Source organism: Homo sapiens, chromosome 5, assembly GCF_000001405.40.
Source record: "Homo sapiens chromosome 5, GRCh38.p14 Primary Assembly".
NCBI classification, from domain to species: Eukaryota; Metazoa; Chordata; class Mammalia; order Primates; family Hominidae; genus Homo; species Homo sapiens.
Window position 1 is genome coordinate 136,946,576 of NC_000005.10, and position 23,224 is coordinate 136,969,799.

Here is a 23,224-nt window from a genome sequence, read left to right on the forward strand (position 1 = left end):
TTGGTCTTTGATTATGGTGATGAACAGATGGGTTTTTGGTGTGGATGTCCTTTCTGTTTGTTAGTTTTCCTTCTAACAGTCAGGACCCTCAGCTGCAGGTCTGTTGGAGTTTGCTGGAGGTCCACTCCAGACCCTGTTTGCCTGGGTATCAGTAGAGGAGGCTGCAGAACAGCGGATATTGGTGAACAGCACGTTACTGCCTGATCGTTCCTCTGGAAGTTTTGTCTCAGAGGAGTACATAGCCATGTGAGGTGTCAGTCTGCCCCTACTGGGGGGTGCCTCCCAGTTAGGCTACTTGGGTGTCAGGGACCCACTTGAGGAGGCAGTCTGTCCGTTCTCAGATCTCTCGTTGCATGCTGGGAGAACCACTACTCTCTTCAAAGCTGTCAGACAGGGACAGACAGGGACAGAGGTTTCTGCTGCTTTAGTTTGGCTATGCCCTGCCCCCAGAAGTGGAGTCTACAGGGGCAGGCAGGCCTCCTTGAGCTGCGGTGGGTTCCACCCAGTTCGAGCTTCCCAGCCGCTTTGTTTACCTACTGAAACCTAGGCAATGGCGGGCGCCCCTCCCCCAGCCTCACTGCCGCCTTGCAGTTTGATCTCAGACTGCTGTGCTACCAATGAGTGAGGCTCTGTGGGCATAGGACCCTCTGAGCAAGGCACGGGATATAATCTCCTGGTGTGCTGTTTGCTAAGACCGTTGGAAGAGTGCAGTATTAGGGTGGGAGTGACCTGATTTTCCAGGTGCTGTGTGTCACCCCTTTCTTTGACTAGGAAAGGGAATTCCCTGATCCCTTGCACTTCCCAGGTGAGGCGATGCCTCGCCATGCTTCAGCTCACACTGGGTGCACTGCACCCACTCTCCTACACCCACTGTCCCGCACTCCCCTGTGAGATGAACCTGGTACCTCATTTGGAAATGCAGAAATCACCCGTCTTCTGCATTGCTGACACTGGAAGCTGTAGACTGGAGCTGTTCCTATTTGGCCATCTTGGCTCCACCCCCCACATTTTCTTTATCCTATCTATCATTGATTGGCATTTGGATTGGTTCCAAGTCTTTGATATTGTGAATAGTGTGGGAATAAACATACATGTGCATGTATCTTTATAGTAGAATGATTTATAATGCTTTGGGTATATACCCAGTAATGGGATTGCTGGGTCAAATGGCATTTCTGGTTCTGGATCCTTGAGGAATCGCCACACTGTCTTCCACAATGGTTGAACTAATTTACACTCCCACCAATTATGTAAAAGCATTCCTATTACTCCACATCCTCTCCAGCATCTGTTGTTTCCTGACTTTTTAATGTTCACCATTTTAACTGGCATGAGAGGCTATCTCATTATGGTTTTGATTTGCATTTCTCTAGTGACCAGTGATGATGAGCTGTTTTTCATGTTTGTTGTTCACATAAATGTTGTCTTCTGAGAAGTTGTCTCTTCACATCCTTCACACACTTTTTGATGGGGTTGTTTTTTTCTTGTAAATTTGCTTAAGTTTTTTGTAGGTTCTGGATGTTAGCTGTTTGTCAAATGGATAGATTGCAAAAATTTTCTCCCATTCTGTAGGTTGCCTCTTCATGATGATGATAGTTTATTTTGCTGTGCAGAAGCTCTTTAGTTTAATTAGATCCCATTTGTCAATTTTGGCTTTTGTTGCAATTGCTTTTGGTGTTTTAGTCATGAAGTCTTTGCCCATGCCTATGTCTTGAATGGTATTGCCTAGGTTTTCTTCTAGGGTTTTTATGGTTTTAGGTCTTACATTTAAGTCTTTAATCCATCTTGAGTTAATTTTTGTATAAGGTGTAAGGAAGGGGTCCAGTTTTAGTGTTCTGCGTATGGCTAGCCAGTTTTCCCAACACTATTTATTAAATAGGGCATCCTTCCCTAATGTTTGTTTTTATTAGATTTGTCAAAGATCAGATGGTTGTAGATGTGTGGTGTTATCTCTGAGGCCTCTGTTCTGTGGTCTGTATATCTGTTTTGGTACCAGTAACATGCTGTTTTGATTACTGTAGGCTTGTAATATAGTTTGAAGTCAGGTAGCTTGATGCTTCCAGCTTTGTTCTTTTTGCTTAGGATTTTCTTGGCTATGTGGGCTCTTTTTTGGTTCCATGTGAAATTTAAAGTAGTTTTTTCTAATTCTGTGAAGAAAGTCAATGGTAGATGGATGGGAATAGCATTGAATCTATAAATTACTTCGGGCAGTATGGCCATTTTCATGATATTGATTCTTCCCATTCATGAGGATGGAATGTTTTTCCATTTGTTTGTGTCCTCTCTTATTTCGTTGAGCAGTGGTTTGTAGTTCTCCTTGAAGAGGTCCTTCACATCCCTTGTAAGTTGTATTCCTAGGTATTTTATTCTCTTTGTAGCAATTGTGAATGGGAGTTCACTCATGATTCGGCTGTTTGTCTATTACTGGTGTATAGAAATGCTTGTGATTTTTGCACATTGATTTTGTATCCTGAGACTTTGCTGAAGTTGCTTATCACCTTAAGGAGATCTGGGGCTGAGACAATGGGGTTTTCTAAATATACAATCACGTCATCTGCAAACAGACAATTTGACTTCCTCTCTTCCTATCTGAATACATTTTATTTCTTTCTCTTCCCTGATTGCCTGGCCAGAGCTTCCAATACTATATTGAATAGGAGTGGTGAGAGAGGGCATCCCTGTCTTGTGCCAGTGTTCAAAAGGAATGTTTCCAGTTTTTGCCCATTCTGTATGATATTGGCTGTGGGTTTGTCATAAATAGCTCTTATTATTTTGAGATCTGTTCTATCAATACCTAGTTTATTGAGAGGTTTTAGCATGAAGGGTGTTAAATTTTATCAAAGGTCTTTTCTGCATCTATTAAGATAATCATGTGGTTTTTGTCACTGGGTCTGTTTATGTGATGGATTACATTTATTAATTTGCATATGTTGAACCAGCCTTGCATCCCATGGATGAAGCCAACTTGATCATGGTGGATAAGCTCTTTGATGTGCTGCTGGATTCGGTTTGCCATTATTTTATTGAGGATTTTCACATCAATGTTCATTAAGGATATTGGCCTGAAATTTTCTTTTTTGGTTTGTCTCTGCCAGGTTTTGGTATCAGGATGATGCTGTCCTCATAAAATGAGTTAGGAAGGAGTCCCTCTTTTTCTATTGTTTGGAATAGTTTTAGAAGAAATGATACAAGCTCCTCTTTGTGCCTCTGGTAGAATTCAACTGTGAATCATCTGGTTCTGGACTTTTTTTGGTTGGTAGGCTATTAATTACTGCCTCAATTTCAGAACTTCTTTTTGTTATTCATGGATTCGACTTCCTCTTGGTTTAGACTTGGGAGGATGTATGTTTCCAGGAATTTATCATTTCTTCTAGATTTTCTAGTTTATTTGCATAGACGTGCTTATAGTATTCCCTGATGGTAGTTTGTATTTCTGTGGGATCAGTGGTAATATCCCCTTTATTATTTTTTGTTGCATCTATTTGATTCTTCTCTTTCTTCTTCTTTATTAGTCTGGCTAGCAGTCTATCTATTTTGTTGATCCTTCCAAAAAACCAGCTCCTGGATTCATTGTTTTTTTTTTTTTTTTTGAAGGGTTTTTGGTGTATTTATTTCCTTCAGTTCTGCTCTGGTCTTAGTTATTTCTTGTCTTCTGCTAGCTTTTGAATTTGTTTGCTCTTGCTTCTCTAATTCTTTGAATTGTGATGCTAGCATATCGATTTTAGAACTTTCTTGATTTGTCTTGTGGGAATTTAATGCTATAAATTTCCCTCTACATACTGCTTTAGCTATGTCCCAGAGATTCTGGTATATTGTGTCTTTGTTCTCATTGGTTTCAAACAACTTATTTATTTCTGCCTTAATTTCGTTATTTACCCAGTAGTTATTCAGAAGCAGGTTGTTCAGTTTCCATGTATTTGTGCAGTTTCTTAATCTTGAATTTTAATTTGATTGCACTGTGGTCTAAGAGACTGTTATGATTTCCGTTCTTTTGCATTTGCTGAGGAGTGTTTTACTTCCAATTATCTGGTCAATTTTAGAGTAAATGTGATGTAGTGCTGAGAAGAATGTATATTCTTTTGATTTGGGGTGGAGAGTTCTGTAGATGTCTAGTAGGTCTGCTTGTTCCAGAGCTGAGTTCAAGTCCTGGATATCCTTGTTAATTTTCTCATTGATCTGTCTAATATTGACAGTGGGGTATTAAAGTCTCCCACTATTATTGTGTGGGAGTCTAAGTCTCTTTGTAGGTCTCTAAGAACTTGCTTTATGAATCTGGTTCCTTCTGTATTGGGTGCATATATATTTAGGATAGTTAGTTCTTCTTGTTGCATTGATCCCTTTACCATTATGTAATGCCCTTCTTTGTCTCTTTTGATGTTTGTTGATTTAAAGTCTGTTTTATCAGAGACTAGGATAGCAACCTCTGCTTTTTTTTTTTTCTTTCCGTTTGCTCGGTAAATCTTCCTCTTTATTTTGACCCTATGTGTGTCTTTGCATGTGAAATGGGTCTCCTGAATACAGCACACCAATGGGTCTTGATTCTTTATCCAATTTGCCTGTCTGTGTCTTTTAGTTGGGGCATTAGCCCATTTACATTTAAGCCTAATATTGTTATGTGTGAATTTGATCCTATCATTATATGCTAGCTGGTTATTTTGCCCATTATTTCATGCAGTTTCTTCATAGTGTCAATGGTCTTTACAATTTTATATGTTTTTGCAGTTGCTGGTACCAATTGTTTCTTTCCATGTTTATTGCTTCTTGTAAGACAGGCCTGGTGGTGACAAAATCTCTCAGCATTTGCTTGTCTGTAAAGGATTTTATTTTTTCTTCACTTATGAAGCTTAGTTTGGCTGGATATGAAATTCTGGGTTGATTTGCATTTCTCTGATGGCCAGTGATGATAACCATTTTTTCATGTGTTTTTTGGCTGCATAAATGTCTTCTTTTGAGAAGTGTCTGTTCATATCCTTTGCCCACTTTTTGATTGGGTTGTTTGTTTTCTTCTTGTAATGCAAATCAAAACCACAATGAGACACCATCTCACACCAGTTAGAATGGCAATCATTAAAAAGTTAGGAAACAACAGGTGCTGGAGAGGATGTGGAGAAATAGGAACACTTTTACACTGTTGGTGGGACTGTAAACTAGTTCAACCATTGTGGAAGTCGGTGTGGCGATTCCTCAGGGATCTAGAACTAGTAATACCATTTGACCCAGCCATCCCTTTACTGGGTATATACCCAAAGGATTATAAATCATGCTGCTATAAAGACACATGCACACATATGTTTATTGCGGCACTATTCACAATAGCAAAGACTTGGAACCAACCCAAATGTCCAACAATGATAGACTGGATTAAGAAAATATGGCACATATGCACCATGGAATACTATGCAGCCATAAAAATGATGAGTTCATGTCCTCTGTAGGGACATGGATGAAGCTGGAAACCATCGTTCTCAGCAAACTATCACAAGGACAAAAAACCAAACACCGCATATTCTCACTCATACGTGGGAATTGAACAATGAGAACACATGGACACAGGAAGGGGAACATCACACCCTGGGGCCTGTTGTGGGGTGGGGGGAGGGGGGAGGGATAGCATTAAGAGATATACGTAATGCTAAATGATGAGTTAATGGGTGCAGCACACCAACATGGCACATGTATACATATGTAACAAACCTGCACGTTGTGCACATGTACCCTAAAACTTAAAATATAATAATAATAAAATTTAAAAAAAATTCTGGGTTGGAAATTCTTCTCTTTAAGAATGTTGAAGATTGGCCCCCACTCTCTTCTGGCATGTAGGGTTTCTGCAGAGAGATCCACCATTAGTCTGGTGGGCTTCCCTTTGTGGTTAACCTGACCTTTCTCTCTGGCTTCCCTTAACATTGTTTCCTTCATTTCATCCTCGGTGAATCTGACAATTATGTGTCTCTGGGTTGCTCTTCTTGAGGAGGATCTTTGTGGTGTTCTCTGTATTTCCTGAGTTTGAATGTTGGCCTGTCTTGATAGGTTGGGGAAGTTCTCCTGAATAATATCCTGAAGAGTGTTTTCCTCCTTGGTTCCATTCTTCTTGTCACTTTCAGGTACAACAATCAAATATAGGTTTGGTCTTTTCACATAGTCCCATATTTCTTGGAGGCTTTGTTCCTTCCTTTTCACTATTTTTTCTCTAATCTTGTCGTTATGCTTTATTTCATTAAGTTGATCTGCAATCTCTGATATTCTTTCTTCTGCTTGATTAATTCAGCTATTGATACTTGTGTATGCTTCGTGAGGTTCTTCTGCTGTGTTTTTCAGCTCCATCGGGTCATTAATGTTCTTCTCTAAACTGGTTATTCTAGTTAGCAATTCCTCTAACCTTTTTTCAAGGTTCTTAGCTTCCTTGCATTGGGTTAGAAGATGCTCCTTTAGCTGGGAGGAGTTTGTTATTATCCACCTTCTGAAGCCTACTTCTGTCAATTCATCAAACTCATTCTCTGTCCAGTTTTTTCCCTTGCTGGTGAGGAGTTGTGATCCTTTGGAGGAGAAGAGGTGTTCTGTGTTTTGCAATTTTCAGTCTTTTTGCACTGGTTTCTCCCCATCTTCGTGGATTTATGTACCTTTGGTGTTTGATGTTGGTGACCTTCAGATGGGGTTTTGGTGTGGACATCGTTTTTGTTGATGTTGATACTATTCCTTTCTGTTTGTTAGTTTTCCTTCTAATAGGCCCCTCTGCTGCAGGTCTGCTGCAGTTTGCCAGATGTCCACTCCAGACCCTGTTTGCCTAGGTATCACCAGTGGAGGCTGCAGAACAGCAAAGATTGCTGCCTGTTCCTTCCCCTGGAAGGTTCATTCCTGGGGAGCACCCGCTAGATGCCAGCTGGAGCACTCCTGCATGAGGTGTCTGTCAACCCCTGCTGTGTCTCCCAGTTGGGAGGCACGGGGGTCAGGGACCCACTTGAGGAGGCAGTCTGTCCGTGAGCAGAACTCCAGCACTGTGCCGGGAGATCTGCCACTCTCCTCAGAGCTGGCAGACAGGAGTATTTAATTCTGCTGAAGCTGCACCTATAGCCGCCCCTGCCCCCAGGTGCTCTGTCCCAGGGAGATGGGAGTTTTATCTATAAGCCCCTGACTGGGGCTGCTGCCTTTCTTTCAGCGATTCCCTGCCCCAAGAAGAGGAATCTAGAGAGGCAGTCTGGCTATAGCAGCTTTGCCAAGCTGCAGTGGGCTCCGCCCAGTTGGAACTTCCTTAAAGCTTTGTTTACACTGAGGGGAAAACCCCCTACTCAAGCCTCAGTAATGCCAGATGCCCCTCCCCTCACCAAGGTGGAGCATTCCAGGTCGACTTCAGACTGCTGTGCTAGCAGCAAGAATTACAAGCCAGTGGATCTTAGCTTGCTGGGCTCTGTGGGGGTGGGATCCACTGAGCTAGACCACTTGGCTCTCTGGCTTCAGCTCCCTTTCCAGGGGAGTGAATGGTTCTGTCTCACTGGCTTTCCAGTCACCACTGGGGTGTGAAAAGAAAATCCTGCACCTAGCTCAGTGTCTGCCCAAACGGCTGCCCAGTTCTGTGCTTTAAAACCAGTGCCCTTGTGGTGTAGGCACCGGAGGGAATCTCCTGGTCTGTGGGTTGCAAAGACCATAGGAAAAGCGTAGTATCTAGGCCAGAGTGCACTGTTCCTCATAGCACAGTCCCTCACAGCTTCCCTTGGCTAGGGGAGGGAGTTCTTCAACTGTTTGTGCTTCCTGGGTGAGGCAATGCCCCACCCTGCTTCTGCTCACCCTCCGTGGGCTGCACCCACTGTCTAACCAGTCCCAATGAGATGTGCCAGGTACTCCAGTTGGAAGTGCAGAAATCACCCGCCTTCTGCGTTGATCTTGCTGGGAGCTGCAGAGCAGAGCTTTTCCTATTTGGCCATCTTGCCAGCCACTCCCAGATCTTTTAAGTCTTGTTTGAGGACTTGGGAAAAGTAGGAAAGGGCTTCAGTAACCCTCTGAGGCATGACTTTCTAGATAGAATGTTGTCCTTCTCAGGAAAAAGCAAAAAGGTATTGACTCTTCTAGTCTAGAGGCACACTGAAAAAGGTAGAGCAAAGGCTCACTGCAGGTAAGCAAGTGGCTTCTGGAGGAGTTGTGTGGGTTGAGGTATTTCTGGAAAGTGAGGAATAACAATTTTGCCAATGGCCTTGAAGTCTTAAGCAAATTGACACTGTCATCTGTTTGGGTTCTTTACTCACAGGACAGAAGTGTTACAGGGCTAATGCAGGGTATGAGAAGACCTTGGGATACAAGGCTTGCAACTATAGGTTTGATCCCTTACCTGTGTCTGAGTTCAAGGAATATTAGGGAAGTTTATGTAATGGTTTGATAGACTCTATCTGTATTTTTTATAGGTTCTGCTCTGATTATTTTGCCTACATCAGTAAAATTTTTGCCCATATAGTGTCACTTTTCTGTGGTATGCATTAAATGTAATGGGAGAAGCAATGGCATATCTAGAGCAGACACATCTTGACCATGAACAGAGGAGTTCTCTGGAACCTCAAGAAATAGTCCTCCTGGCATGCTTTTAATCATTGCAGTTCCATTTGCAAAGTAACCATTCTATTAAATTTGCAGGGGTGGTATCACAGAGCAGGAAGGAATGTTTTTCAGTCAAAGACACAAGGGTTAGGTTAAGAATTGGGAGATGGGGAAAACCTGAGGGTTATGAAATACCTTCCACATATGTTGTAAGTTTACTCTGAGGAAGAAGTTAAGAAAGATAACAAGGTATAATGCACAAAAAGTGGCACACATGTCTTTTTTCGTATGAGTTGAACTAGGAATTGATTAGCATGACTGTATTCATAGTTAATTTACTGTGAGTGTTTGAGGGTATGGCAAGATATTGAATGCTTTTTCATTCCTTGGAATGCCTTCATTGATCCAAATTGAGGGATGTTTCTTTGTCTTGGTTTTTCTTTTATAAGATGGGTTCATCTATTTCCAGTGTTCCTTCTGTTAACAATTTCTACAAGTGTCCTTGTCAGCAGGTGGTTGGTTGGGGAATGGACTACCTAGCTGTTTAATCTATAGTCCCATCAATTTACTTTAGAGCTTTCTCACTTTTGTCCTAAAGCCCTGGCAAAATGTTCTGTCAGGTATTAGAGTTTAGCTAGTGGGGCTGTTTCCCATTCTAATGTCTACTTTCACATTAGGACTTTAACGTCAGGTTTAACTCCATCGACAAAGTGAGATGAAAGGGCTGCTATCACAACAGCACCTTCTTTATTCCCAAGAGATGTCAGAAAGTATTTCCTACTCTATCTTGAGCAATCTATAGTTTCATCTTTTGTGCCTATTTGCATGATTGAATTGTGGTCCTATCAATTTTTACTGTGAATGTTTCAGGAATGGCTTTTTATGAGACGTTGACCTAATTTTCTGGCCTGTTTTTGACCCTCAGGTTTGTTATGGAAAGAAGGATCCTATAGATTGCTTTCTGGGTCAGCCCAATTATCTTTTGCCATTTAGGATTTAGTATCTGAGGTTTGGACCAATGTGTGTACAGGCTGATATAGGTCAGGTAACCCTAGGTCATATGTACCCAAAATAATTCTAAATTCTTCTATGAATATTTGCTGGTCTTGTTTGAGTTTAGGGAAATCTTTAGTTGCAGCTCTTGAATGAGCTCAGGTCCAAGGCTTCAGTTCGACAGTTGCCTGCAGGACAGGCTCATGAGAGGAATGGGTCCTTATAGGCAACTGGCATTGGGGGGTTTTAGGAAAGTTGTTGGGAAAGGTAGGGAGGCTGGACAAAGGGAAGAAGAGGTAGGAGGTGCAGAGGGAGAAAGATCAGCAGCATAAGAGGAAGACTTTGAGGTCCCTTGAACTGTCTAACCCCCCTGACCTGAGGTTCTTATTGATTATCCTGGACCTAATTATTGTGCTGTCCCTAGCACCCAGTAGGTGCTTTGGAGAATTCATTTGGTCATAAGCTTGGGCGATGGGAAGGGAGGCAGTTTCTAGAAGAGCTAGCAATGGAGGATAAGGACTGGGGGGAGGATTTACTAGGGGAATAAGTCTAGTTCTTGCTTTAACTTTGTCAGGTTGCCCTTTAGCTTTAGCTGGAGGCTTTTTTAGTGATGCAATTTTTAATTCAGTTTTGTTTGGAGGTCCCTGAATACCAATCAAGAAATGCTACCCTTGCAGTAAGCCGAGATCGTGCCACTGCACTCCAGCCTGGGTGACAGAGCGAGACTGTCTCCAAAAAAAAAAGAAAGAAAGAAATGCTAACCATGGAGCTTGTAGAATCTTATTCCCTTTCTTTTCTTAGGTGCCTCTCCAACTATTTTATTCAAATTCAGTGTTCCCCAGAGTGGCACTGAAGACCTAAGTCATCTTCTGAAGTTATGCCATTTAGAGAGTGAGGCACAAGAATTAGGACTGTAATCAGATTACATATAAGAAGCAGGGATTTTTCCAGATACAGGAGAGAATTTAGACTTAGAGGACCCCATACGAGCTGGTGATAGTTGGTAGGAATGTAATGCTGTGCACTTCGTGTCTCAGGTCCACAACCTGACAGTTGGCGGCCTCCGAACATAGACCCAATAGTCTGTGCCCCTGGCAGGTGGAAAACCAGAAATAACATTGCCTCTGGGTCAAAGCCAAGCTCTCAGGAGCCAAATTCAGGATGGAAGAAGAACCTCATCTGGTTTCATTGGTGACCCACAGCAAAGTTTGTCCAATGGACACCAGTCCAACAAGATCTGAAAACTTCCCCGCCTGTGAGGCCAGCTTGAACAACAGGCCAATAAGGCCTTTGCCCATGTTCTGCCCTAGGATTCTCCTTCTTTTGACAAGTAACACTTTTAGACAGCACAACACAAAACAGTAGCACAAAAAATAGAAAAAAAAATAATGTGGGGAGGGATGAAAAGAGATGGCCTGATTCAAACAAGGGCGCCAAACAAATAGGAACCAATAACAAAGCCAGTGACTCACCTGAGAATAAATAGCCAAGAAACTCAACACAAAGAGAGTAGAGTTCATGCCCAGGGTGTGGCATCATAGGATTCATAAGCTATGAGTAGCAAGGCAAGAGGGGCCTTCGTGAATAGTGCACCTGTGTGAAGGCTGGAGTCTGTGCAGTGCACAGTGCAGATAGGGGCTCTGTGGAGCCTCCACAATAACTATGGAAATGAATGAAGACCAACCAGATGAGAATAACCAGGCATGGTTTATTCAGAGCCTGCCATAGCAAGGGAGTCAGCCACCATTATTTGTGCTTGGCAGAAGCTCAATGGCAGGCAGAGGAATGGTAAAGCTTTGTAGTGAAAAAAGGGAAGTCTTCAGGTATGCCCTATTGGAGGCTATTGGCATGGAGAAGCTGCAGGCAGGCTAACGAGAAACAGAGCATTCTATGTCGTTGGTTAGTGGTAAGTATTTGACTTTACCTAATTGGTCCTCTGTTGTACAAAAGTAGGTACAAAATTAGGAAAGCTGTCAGTTATTAATAAAGTCCTGCTTGGGGGTAATTATCACAGGTATTATTGTTTAGCTTCCTGGATTTTTGTTAGAAGTAGAGATCTGACACCCTACAAGTCTGACTTAGAAATAGCAGACTGGTTTCCTGGGCTGTTTACCACAGATTATGGGTTGACTTCCTGAGCTGGTTGCTGCAGATTGTGGGTCAGAGTTCTATTTTTATATATGGCCTGGCCATTCTCTGTTTGTATATCTAGTCTCTTGCATCAATCTGATTTATTCATGTGTAACTATTATGAGTTTCCAGCATATTTTAGAGTTTTACATGTATCGTTGACATTATCTTGCTTGACACTTAATGGTCTCTTAAACTGAAGACTTGTGCCCATCTTTAGTTCTTGGCTATTCTTTCTTCTCTCATTGCTATTCCTTCATTATCAATTCTCACTCACTCCAGAACTTCCGTTACAAACTTGTTAGTTTTTAGATCTCTCCTTTACATTTATTAACTTACTTTCTTTCTTTTCACCTGATTACTCCTTTGGCTGTATTTTGGAAAAATTCTTTACTCAATTTTCCAGCTAATTAATTTTTTCCTTTTAAGTGTTTATTTGATGTTTCAGTACATCTATTGAGAATTTTTCCCCTCTAAGTTATATTTTTCATTCTACGAAGGTAATATATTTTAAAGATTTTCTAAGTATGTAAATTATCTTTTTTAAAAATCATATTCTTATTTCTATTGCTAATTCTTTGTCTTTGGATATAAATTCTGCCATTGGTTGAGTTTGCTTCTTCCATGGTGTCAAATTTCCCCCTATATTTGATGATTTTTATATTGTGTGTTCACCTTGGTGCTTGAAATTTCCTGTTAAATTTTCCACTATCCAGTATTTCTACACTATGAGACCTTAGCAGTGTTACTATTTTGGATGAAATGTGTCTGGTGAGAATGGGCAAGGGTGGATTGAATGAGTTGAGTAGTAGCTGGCATTTGGTGCTTGAGCTCCCTATGTTTCTGCTGGCCCTGGAAGCAATGTCCTGCCTCTTTGATTTCAGCTCCCACCTGCAGAAACCAACCCTCCATCCCTACCCCCACCCCTATGGCTGCAGCCTGGGCCCTGAGGAGTGATACACAAGATTTTATCTCTCTAGAGTATCTCAACTTAGCACCCTATTTGTTGCTTCTGGATCACCTTCAGGTTCTGACATCCACCACCTCAATGCATGGGACTTTTAAAAATGAGATTTTTTCAATTGTTTATGATAGAATTCTCCTTCAAGGAATTTCCCTGTCCCCTGATGCACACATACCTAGTTTTCTTTTCTTTATGGGGGGTGGGGGAGGCAGGGTCTTACTCTGTTGCCTAAGTTGGAGTGTAGTGGCATGATCATGACTGACTGCAGCCTCAACCTCCTGGCCTCAAGTCGTCTTCTGCCTCATTCCTCCTAAAGTGCTGGGATTACAGGTATAAGCTACTGCATTCAGCCTATACTGAATTTTTTTTTGGTACAGCCATACATTTTTATTTTAATGTATTTTCTGTAACTTGTCTCAGTTTGGCGTAGGATGTAGAAGATTGGTACACATGTTTAGTTTGCAGTCTTGTAACTGGAAACTTTTTAGTGTAGTAATTGTTAAAGTGTGATCCAAGGACCCCTGGAGGCCGCAAAGACTCTTTTAGAGAGTCTAAAAGATTCTTCCTTCTTCAGCCTCACATCTATGTGAAGTTGAATTCTCTTTATATACTTCAACCAACACAACATATTGCAGCAGATTGAATGTACACATATGACAATCCAGCTGTCTTCTATTAAGTCGGACATAAAAGAGATTTGCACAAGTATAGAACATTGCTATTCTTCTCATTGTTTATTGTTTTGAAATATATACTTATTTTTATAAAGTATTACTGATATTAACATGTAATAGATATCTTATTTAATGAATTAAATATTAAAAGAAAAAATAAAGGTTCATATTTATTAAAATAAGTAAAGATTTTCTATTATCTTATTTTTTTATTTTCACAAATTCCTTTGGACTATTCTTTTCCTCTCATTCCATACATTCCCCTTAACTAATTTGGTGTTATACATTGTTACCATTGTTATAGTGAATGAAGTGAAATTTTTAATATTTACAATTTCATGAGTCTAAATGTAATAAATGTATTGTTTTTTCTCACACAAAATAAGAATCTGTTTTAAATCTGATCATTCCAATATTGATGTGTATGCTTTTGTATGCTACAGTGTTCATTCTAAATTAATTTTTACAGCCCTCCAGATTAGAAAGTAATGTTTTTGTTTTCCATAATTAATATTGGTTTAAATTTACCATTTTGCTTCCCTATTTCTTTTTCCATCTTGAATCTTCCTTCTGAAATAATTTTTCTTCCTCCTGAAGGACATATTCTTGAAGTTATTTCAGTGAAAGTCTTTTTTAAACTCTCAATTTTTGTCCAACAATATCTTTATTTTGCACATGTTCTTGAAAGATAGTTTGTTTTCCCATGTATCAATTCTAGATTGGCAGTGACATTTTTCACTTGGTACTTTACAGATAATGTCTTTTGTCATTCTAATGTCTTTCGTTTTCCAATATTGCTCTTTATAATGCAAATATCACTCTAATTCAGTGATTTTCAAAAGTGGTTCTTAGACCAGCAGCCTCAGTATCACTTTGGAGCTTTTTCAAAATGCAACTTTTAAAAATCTTATTCCAGATTTACTGAACCCAAACTTTGTAGTTGGGGTTCAGAAATGTGTTTTTAAAAGTCCTCCAAGTGATTCTACTGCCCACTTAAGTTTGAGAGCCAGCTATCTAATTGTTATTTCTGTAAAGGGTAAAGGTAATTCATCTTCTATTTCTGGCTGCTTTTAAGGATTTTTGTCTTTAATGTTCTACAGACTCTGATAGGTCTATAAATAAATTTACTTTTATTTATTTTAGTTGGAATTTATTGGGCTTCCTGGGTCTAAGGATTGGTGGCTTTCATTAATTCTGGAAAACTGTAACCCATTAGCTCTTTAAATATTGATTTTACCCTACTTCCTATATTCTTCGGAAACTTCAATTATACTTATATTGGAGCTTCTCACTTTACATTTCATATTTTAAAATTATTTCCTCATGTTTTCTATATCTTATGTTTACTATATTTGGGATCAGGTTTTCAGCTATTCCCCAGAGAAGATTTGTGTTTACTTCTGCTAGGGACACATTAAATTCAATTTTCTTCTTGGGTTTTTGGACCACATAGGTAATATAAATTCTTCCCTCAAACCCATATGAATGCAGATTGTGTTAAAAATTCTCATGGGTAATGTTTTTTCTTTATTTTTATTCTATTTTATATGGCACCAAGGCCAAGATCAGCATATCTACTCCTCTACCCCAATTTTCCTGTTTTTAAAAAAATTCATTCACTGAGGTCATTGCCTTTTGAAGGTCCTGGCTTTCCTGAAGTTTCTGAGCTTACCTGTATACTTACTTCCATGGCCTAGGCTTTGTCTACTATCTCCTGAACCCACAAACTATTAAAACAAAGACAGAAACCACCAAAAGATTAGCAGATACTCTGGGGCAAAAGCTAGCTCTAGAATTAGCTTAACCTTGTGGATTTTTGCTTGCTTGTTGTTTTTTTCCCTCTACTAATTGGGACATTTATATCTATATCTTGGTGGTTGAGCTATCAGTGAAGTGCATTAATTTTATTCAATATTTTGAAACATACTGAGCTTCTTGTCAGTTCTGTTACCAAACATTGAGGTCACTTGAATTATCTAACCCCCATGACCTCAGGTTCTTATCACTACCCATACTCCTCATTGAATATCCTGGACCTAGTGATTGTGCTGGCCCTAGCACCCAGTAGGTGCTTTGGAGAACTCACTTGGTCATAAGCTTGGGTGATGAGAAGGGAGGCAGGTTCAAATTCCCTGGGGAACCCACGGGAGTTTTGTCCATAAGAGTTTAGGCCTTATTCTGGCTCACTGGGAGTTTTCTGGCCTGAGATAACCTGAGAGCAACTTGGAGAGGGTGGGGTTTTGGAAGTCATGCCCCCCTTTTCCTTCAGTCTCAGCTCAGAAGGGGCAGGCCCAAGAGCCATCAGAGAACCTCAAAGGAGACAGGCTGCAGATCAGAACAATGAAGTAAAAGCAGCAATCCTGGTTTCCTGGATCTAGCAACTGCAGTACCCTCAGATGTGGACCCAGAATTGGGAAATTCTCTCTATTATGAATGTCACAGGTTGTAGGATGGGGGGAAACCCCATCAATGGATACAGTAAAGATAGGGGCAAAACAAATATTTGTTGAGTGGATGAGTTCACAGGAATTTTTCTGAGGCTTGGAATATTATTGGAGGTTCTAGTCCATGATTGATCCTGGGCTATTTCAGTTCTTTTCATTAAAAAAGAATTTTTATTGAGCATCCAAACCAGCCAAAAGGCCCAGGCTATGCTTTTGTGGGGTGTAGAGAAGTGGCCTTTTTCGATGATTGAGGGGGCCATATGGGATAGCTAACATATCACCTGGGAGATATCAGTGCTGATGCAAATGCTTCCACCAAGCACATGGCTTGAGATGGGGAAATAGAGGAGACATTCCAGAAACAGAGAAACGAATGTAGGATAAAAGTGAAGCAGATTGAGAAAAAATATTAACATGGAAAAGGAGGTCAAGGGTGATGGAGGTAGGCTTTGCATACACAGAGAAATTGTAGAGGGAGTTTATGTGTTATTTATGTGGCAAAAAGCCATGGGCTTTTGACCAAAAATGGGCCAGGATATTTCATGCTAACAAAGGCAGTCGACTGAATCCATAGACAGGCTGAGATTTTATGTTGGGGCAAGAGACTACAGGATATCCTTAGAGTTCTCTAGGAGTGATTGTTGTGGTTGGTTTCTAGGGCAGGTGGTGCTGTCTGGTGTCAATAATGACTGTCTCCTGTGGCCAGCTGGGTGTGACATTATGTATCCTTACATTAAATGTGATTCTGGAAAGTGGCTTCATTTCTATTGGTTAACGTTAGCCAGCTCCTAAATCCTAGTTTAATGCTCATCCAAAGTGCTAAGTTCCTTTGTTCATGAACTATTTGTTAAAGTATAAAATAACTTGGGAATTATTCTGCACGAAATGTCAAGCGGCAGAACAAATAACTATTCCCCTCATTAATCCCTATGGGCAGCATCTGTTTGAGAGCTTTGCTTTTCCATAATGAAAATATGTCAGCCCTGAATATATGTTTGTGCTATTGAGACTGAACAGTGAAATGAAATGAATTCTCCACTCAGCCACAGGTGAAATATGGCAGTTTGTGGTGAATGAGGCACTGAGCGCTGTAGGAAGTTGAGACTCGAACTTTGAGAAACCTTAGGGAGGCTAAAATCAGCGAGAGAGGGGAGGGCAGTGTGTGATTAAAGTGTAAAGCAATTCCCCAAACTAAATTCATCTTAATTCATTCTCATTTATAAGAGAAAGCTACTCCACATAGTACAGCTGGGTGTTTAAGAAATATGTGGGGCTTCGTTGTCCTCGAAGTCATGGAAATCAGGGGAAGCCCAGGGGTGAGGGTTTGATGTGCAGAAACGGTGTCATACAGAAAGGAAAGAGCACAGACTGTCAGTGAGCACAGAATCATAGGACCTCAGGGACAGCCCATCCATCTCACAGGTGAGGAATGTGAGGCCCAGAAAGGGAAGGAAATTGTCTAAGGAATCAGAGCCAGTGAAATTCTTACCCAACAGGGCCTATAATCAGACTAGCCTATTCACTCAACACTGTGTGCAGGATGCCTAGCTCTCTGTCCTCTGCTCTCTCCAGTGCAGAAATCAGTAATTCTTTAAGGGCAGGGTCTGATTTCTTCCTCAAATAGTGCTGGGTACCTGGTAAATGATAAATGTTGTGAATTGATATATTACTGGATTTTTCCTCGAGGTCCAGAGTGGTATGCTTTGTGTACAGATGGGTGGAGGGATGTGTATACGTAGTTAGCTTCTTTTTATTTATCTATATTTTATTTTTTTAATTATACTTTAAGTTCTTGGATACATGTGCGGAACGTGCAGGTTTGTTACATAGTTATACACATGCCATTGTGGTTTGCTTTTATTTTTTAAGTCAGATCACATAGCCCCACAACATAGCAGTTAAGAATGTCAGCTTTGGTGATTGCCCATGCAAGGTTCAAATCCTCACTCTGCCATTTATTAGCTGTGTGACTTTAGACAAGTTGCATAACTTATCTGTAAAGTGGAATGAGACATTGTATCTACCTATAGAACTGTGGTGAGACTTCTACAAGATAATGTAGTTGTAGGTAAGTAGTCCTGGCCTCTAATGATGGTTATAATGTTATTTCCCTTTCATCCTAACTCACTCCTGCACCAGTTCCCCCATGACAAACTCTATGCAGAGGCTGAACTACATCCACTTGTGACACAGTATTCTCATAGCATAGCTCTACATTAAGGCGTTGTTGCTTTTCCTAGCTTGCAAAGCTGCCTCCAATCAGTGTTCTTCTCCTTGGGAGAATAGTGTGAACCGCTAAATAGACTGTTAATGTTGATGTCTTCATTTGTTTTTGAAAATGGTCACAGATGATCAGGAGGTGAGTGAAAGCTGCCTTGAGCCTCCAATCTACAAGACATGGAAACAGCATTACCAAGGTCCCTATTTTAAGAACTGGCCAGAATTTTCATAAAAATTAGACTTGGTTTTAATGAGTCTCATTGTTTTGCCAGAATGTGATTAGCTTTTTAAAATTAAGCTTCGATTTATAGGAATAGAGGTCAAATTTGAGAAAAATAAGTAGGAAGAAAATATTCTTGTTATGTATAATCAAATGGTCTCTAAGTCCTTTAAAAAAAAACAAAAACAAAAAGGAGCCCGGGTGCAGTGCCTCATGCCTGTAATCCCAGCACTTTGGGAGGCCGAGGCAGGAAGATCACGAGGTCAGGAGATCGAGACCATCCTGGCTAACATGGTAAAACCCTGTCTCTACTAAAAACACAAAAAATTAGCTGGGCGTGGTGGTGGGCGCCTGTAGTCCCAGCTACTTCGGAGGCTGACGCAGGAGAATGGCATGAGCCCGGGAGGCGGAGCTTGCAGTGAGCTGAGATAGCACCACTGCACTCCAGCCTGGGCAACAGAGCAAGACTCCGTCTCAAAACAAACAAACAAACAAAAACAAAAAAAAGAAACATTGAATAGTAAAACTAAGAATAGTGGAATAAAATAGTAAAAACAACTGGAATGTCAGGAAAAGAGAACCGCCCTCTGATTTGGAGAGCATGTGCTGTCAGTCGTTTAGAGTCTCAAGACCCATTGCTGAAAACCTTTGCAAATCATTATATGGCACCAGGATTACCATTCAAATTTGTGATATTTGAACTTTTGGACAGTAGAAGCTTGACATTGTAGATTTGTCATCGTGGATCTACATGAAGCCCACATGTAGTATGATTCTATTTTATGAAATGTTCAAAAAAGGGAAATCCATAGAGACAGAAAATAGTTTGACGGTTACCTGGGGCTCAGCATGGGAAAGGGAAAGGACTGGATAGCTGGGCATGAGGTTTCATTCTGGAGTAATGGAAATATTCTAACATTAGATGTGCTGTGGTTAACAACTCAGTAAATTTCAAAAAGGTCACACCTCAAATGGGTGGGCTTTATAGTAAATAAATTATTCCTCAGTAAAACTATTTATAAATTCAACTTGTGTGAACGATGAACAATTCAATCTGTGTAAAAGTATTGATCAAATGTCATTGTTTCTATGAAGTTTCTTTTTAAAAATATATCCAGGCAGAACTAATTGGTCAGTTTTCCTTGTTCCTGTTGCTATTTGCTATGTTCATTATTCACTCAACAGACAGTAATTGCTCATCTACCATGTGTTGAACACTGAGGAATAAGAGCAGGATTTTTTTTTTTTTTTTTTACTGTGGTAAAATATATTTAACAAAATTTTCTATTTTTATCATTTTAAATGTATGGTTCAGTGGGATTAAGTACATTCACATTTTTGTGCAACCATCACTGCTATCTTTCCCCTTATTATTCCAGATGGAATCTCTGTATCCATTAAATACTAACTCCCCATCTTCTGTTTTCCCCAACCCCTGGCAACTACTATTCTACTTTCTATCTCTGTGAATTTGACTACTCCAGTTACCTCATATAAGTGGAATCATACAGTATTTGTCCTTTGATGTTGGCTGATTTCATTTAGCATAATGTGTTCAAGCTTCATCTATGTTGTAGCCTATAACAGAATTTTCTTTTGAAGGCTGAAAAATATTTCATTGTACATACTGACCACATTTTCTTTATCCATTCACCCATTGATGAACATTTGGGTTACTATTTCTTGGCTACTGTGCATAATATTGCTAGGAATATTGGTGTACAAAATATTGCTATGAATATTGGTGCACAAGTATCTGTTCAAGTCTGTTTCCAGTTTCTCTGGATGAATAAGTAGGAGTGAAATTACTCAATCATGTGGAGATTTTACATTTACTTTTTTGAGGAACTGCTGTTCAGTCTTCTGCAATGGCTGTCCTGTTTTACATTCCTACCAGCAATCCACAAGATTTCCAGTTTCTCCACATCCTTGTTATTTATTTATTTGGAAATAGCCATCCTAAATGGTGTAAAGTGGTATCCCATCGTCGTTTGGATTTGTATTTCCCTAATGATTAGTGATGTTGAGGGTTTTTTGTGTGTGCTTAATGATCATTCATATATATTCTTTGGAAAAATGTCTATTCAAGCAAGTCTTTTGCCCATTTTAAAAATCAGGTTGCTTTTTTGTTGAGTTATAAGAGTTTTTAAAATATATTATTGATATTAATTCCTTACTAGATACAGTATTTGCATATATTTTTCCTCTTCTATGATTTGCATTTTCATTCTGTTCATAGTTTCTTTTGCACAAAAGTGTTTAATTTTCATTAAGTTCAATTTATCAATTTTTTTCTGTTGCCTGTGCTTTTTGATGTCAAATAGAAATCATTGCCAAATCCAATGTCTTGAAGTTTTTTTTTTTTCTCTTAAGAGTTTTATAGTTTTAGCTCTTACATTTAGGTCTTTGATCCTTTTTGGAGTTAATTTGTATATAGTATAAGGTAAGGGTCCAATTTCATTATTTTGCAAAGGATATCCAGTTTTTCCAAAACAATTAGTTTAAAAGACTATTCTTTCCTCATTGCATGGTCTTGGAACCCTCACTGAAAATCATCTGACCATATATATGAGAGTTCATTTCTTGGCTCTTTATTCCATTTATCTATATGTCTGTCTTTATGCCGTTACCACCCTTTTGATTACCATAGTTTTGTAGTAGGTTTTGAAATCAGGAAGTGTAAGGTCTTCAACTTTGTTCTTCTTTTCCAAGATAGTTTTGGCTATTCAGGGCCTCTTTAGATTCCATATGAATTTTGGGATGGTTTTTCTATTTCTGCAAATAATAAAAAATCATTGGAATATTTATAGGGATTTGTTTTGAAACTGTAAATCACTTTCAGAAACATCTTAATACTATGAAGTCTTCTATGAACACTGGATGTTTTTCCATTTATCTATGTCTTTAATTACTTTCAGCAATACTTCATAGTTTTCACTGTAAAAGTCTTTTGCTGCCTTTATTAAGTTTCTTCCTAAATATTTTGCTCTTTTTGTTGCTATAGTAAATGGAATTGTTTTCTTAATTCCATTTTTGGAGTTTCATCGTTCTTTAGAAATACAGCTGACTTTTGTCTGTCAATTTTGTATCCTGAAACTTTGCTGAATTCGTTTATTCTAAGTTTTTGTGTGTGTGAAATATTTAGGCTTTTATATATGTGAGATTATGCCATCTGCAAACAGAGTTAATTTTACTTTTTCCTTTCTAATATGGATGCTTTTATTTTTCTTGCCTAATTGCTCTGTCTAGAACTTCAAATACTATATTGAATAAGAGTAGTAAGAGCAGAATGCTTGTCTTGTTTTTATGATCATAAAAGAGAAGATTTCAGTCTTTTGAGTACGATGTTAGCTAAACGCTTTTCACACATAGCCTTTATTAAATAGTTTTCTTCTATTTCTAGAGTATTTTTGTCATGAAAAGGTGTCGAATTTGTCTAATCAGTTGAGATAATCATGTGTTATTGTTTATTCTTCACTGTAATTCCAGGTATGTTATACTATTGAGCTTTGTATGTTGAACAACCTGACATTCTGGGAATACATTCCACTTTGGCATGGTTTATAATTTTTTTAATATACTGCTGAATTTAGCTTGGTAGTATTGAAGATTTTTACAAGAATATTATTGATACTGGTCTGTAGTTTTCTTGTAGCATCTTTGGCTTTGGTTTCAGGGTAATATTGGCCTTATAAAATTACGTAGGAAGTATTCTGTGAAGAATTTGAGAAGGACTGGTGTTATTTCTTCTTTAATTGTTTGTTTGAATTCACTAGTGAAGCTTTCTGGTCTATAGAGTTTGTTTCTTGGAAAGTTTTTAACTACTGATTGCGTCTCCTTATTAGTTAGGAGTCTATTTTGATTTTCTGTTTCTTCATGATTCAGTCTTGGTAGGTTGTGTGTTTCTAGAAATTTTTTTCATTTTGTCTATTTACCTAGACTATCCAACTTGTTGGCATACAACTTTTCATAGCATTCTCTTATAATCCTTCTTATTTATATATAATCAGTAGCAATACCTCCCACTTTCTGTTTTGAGTAATGTAAGTCATCTCTTTTTTCTTAGTCAATTAATTAAAGCTTTGTCAATTTTGTGCATTTTTTCAAAAAATAAACTTTTGGTTTTGCTTATTTTTCTGTATTATTTCTCTATTCTCTATTTTATTTGTCTCTACATTAATCTATGTAATTTTCTTCCTTATGTTAGCTTTGGCTTTATTTTGTCCTTCTTTTTCTAGTTCCTTATGGTTTAAAGTTAGGTTGTTGATTTGAGATTGTTCTTCTTTTTCAATGTAAACATTCAGAGCTATAAGTTCCTCTCTCCTAGTACTGGTATTGCTGCACCCCACAAGTTTTGGTTTATTTATTTTCATTTTATTTATGTCAAGACATTCCCTAGTTTCCTTTGTGATTTCTTTTTTCACCTACCGGTTGTTTAGGAGTGTATTGTTTAATTTTCCCACACTTGTAAGTTTCCTCATCCAAGTACTAACTAGGCTCAACCCTGTTCAGCTTTGGAGATCAGATGAGATTTGGTGTGTTCAGGGTGGTATGGCTATAGGTTCACACATTTGTACATTTTCTAGTTTCCCTTTTGTTATTGATTTCTAATTTCATTCAACTGTGTTTAGAAAAAAATACTTTGTGTGATTTCTGTCTTTTTAAATATATACAATTTAACATCTTAATAAGACTTGTTTCATGACATAACATGTGGTCTATCTTAGAAAATGTTTCATAAACACTTGAGAAAAATGTATCTTCTACTATTGTTGAGAGAAGTGTTCTGTATATGTCTATTAGGTCCAATTGGTTTATAGTGTTGTTCAAGTCCTCTATTTCCTCACTGATCTTCTGTCTGGAAGTGGGGTTGAAGTCTCCAACTATTATTGTAGAGCTGTCTATTTCTCCATTCAAGTCTGTTTGTTTTGTGTGTTTTGGAGCTATGATTTTGGGTGCATGTATGTCTATAATTGTTATGTCTTCTTGGTGAATTGACCCTTTTAACATTATACAATGTCCTTCCTTGTCTCTTGTAATCATTTTTAATGTAAAC

At 39.0% G+C, this 23,224-nt stretch overlaps 1 pseudogene, besides 1 other annotated feature; it reads right to left on the reverse strand.

The window, feature by feature from the left end:
• Positions 6,429 to 7,345: an enhancer, noted in NCBI's record as "H3K27ac-H3K4me1 hESC enhancer chr5:136288693-136289609 (GRCh37/hg19 assembly coordinates)". NCBI's record gives its function as "activates a minimal SCP1, AML or CMV promoter by ChIP-STARR-seq in naive H9 embryonic stem cells {active_cell/tissue: H9 hESC(naive)}" and the evidence as "EXISTENCE:reporter gene assay evidence [ECO:0000049][PMID:30033119]".
• Positions 22,625 to 22,731, reverse strand: RNA5SP193 (RNA, 5S ribosomal pseudogene 193; annotated as a pseudogene).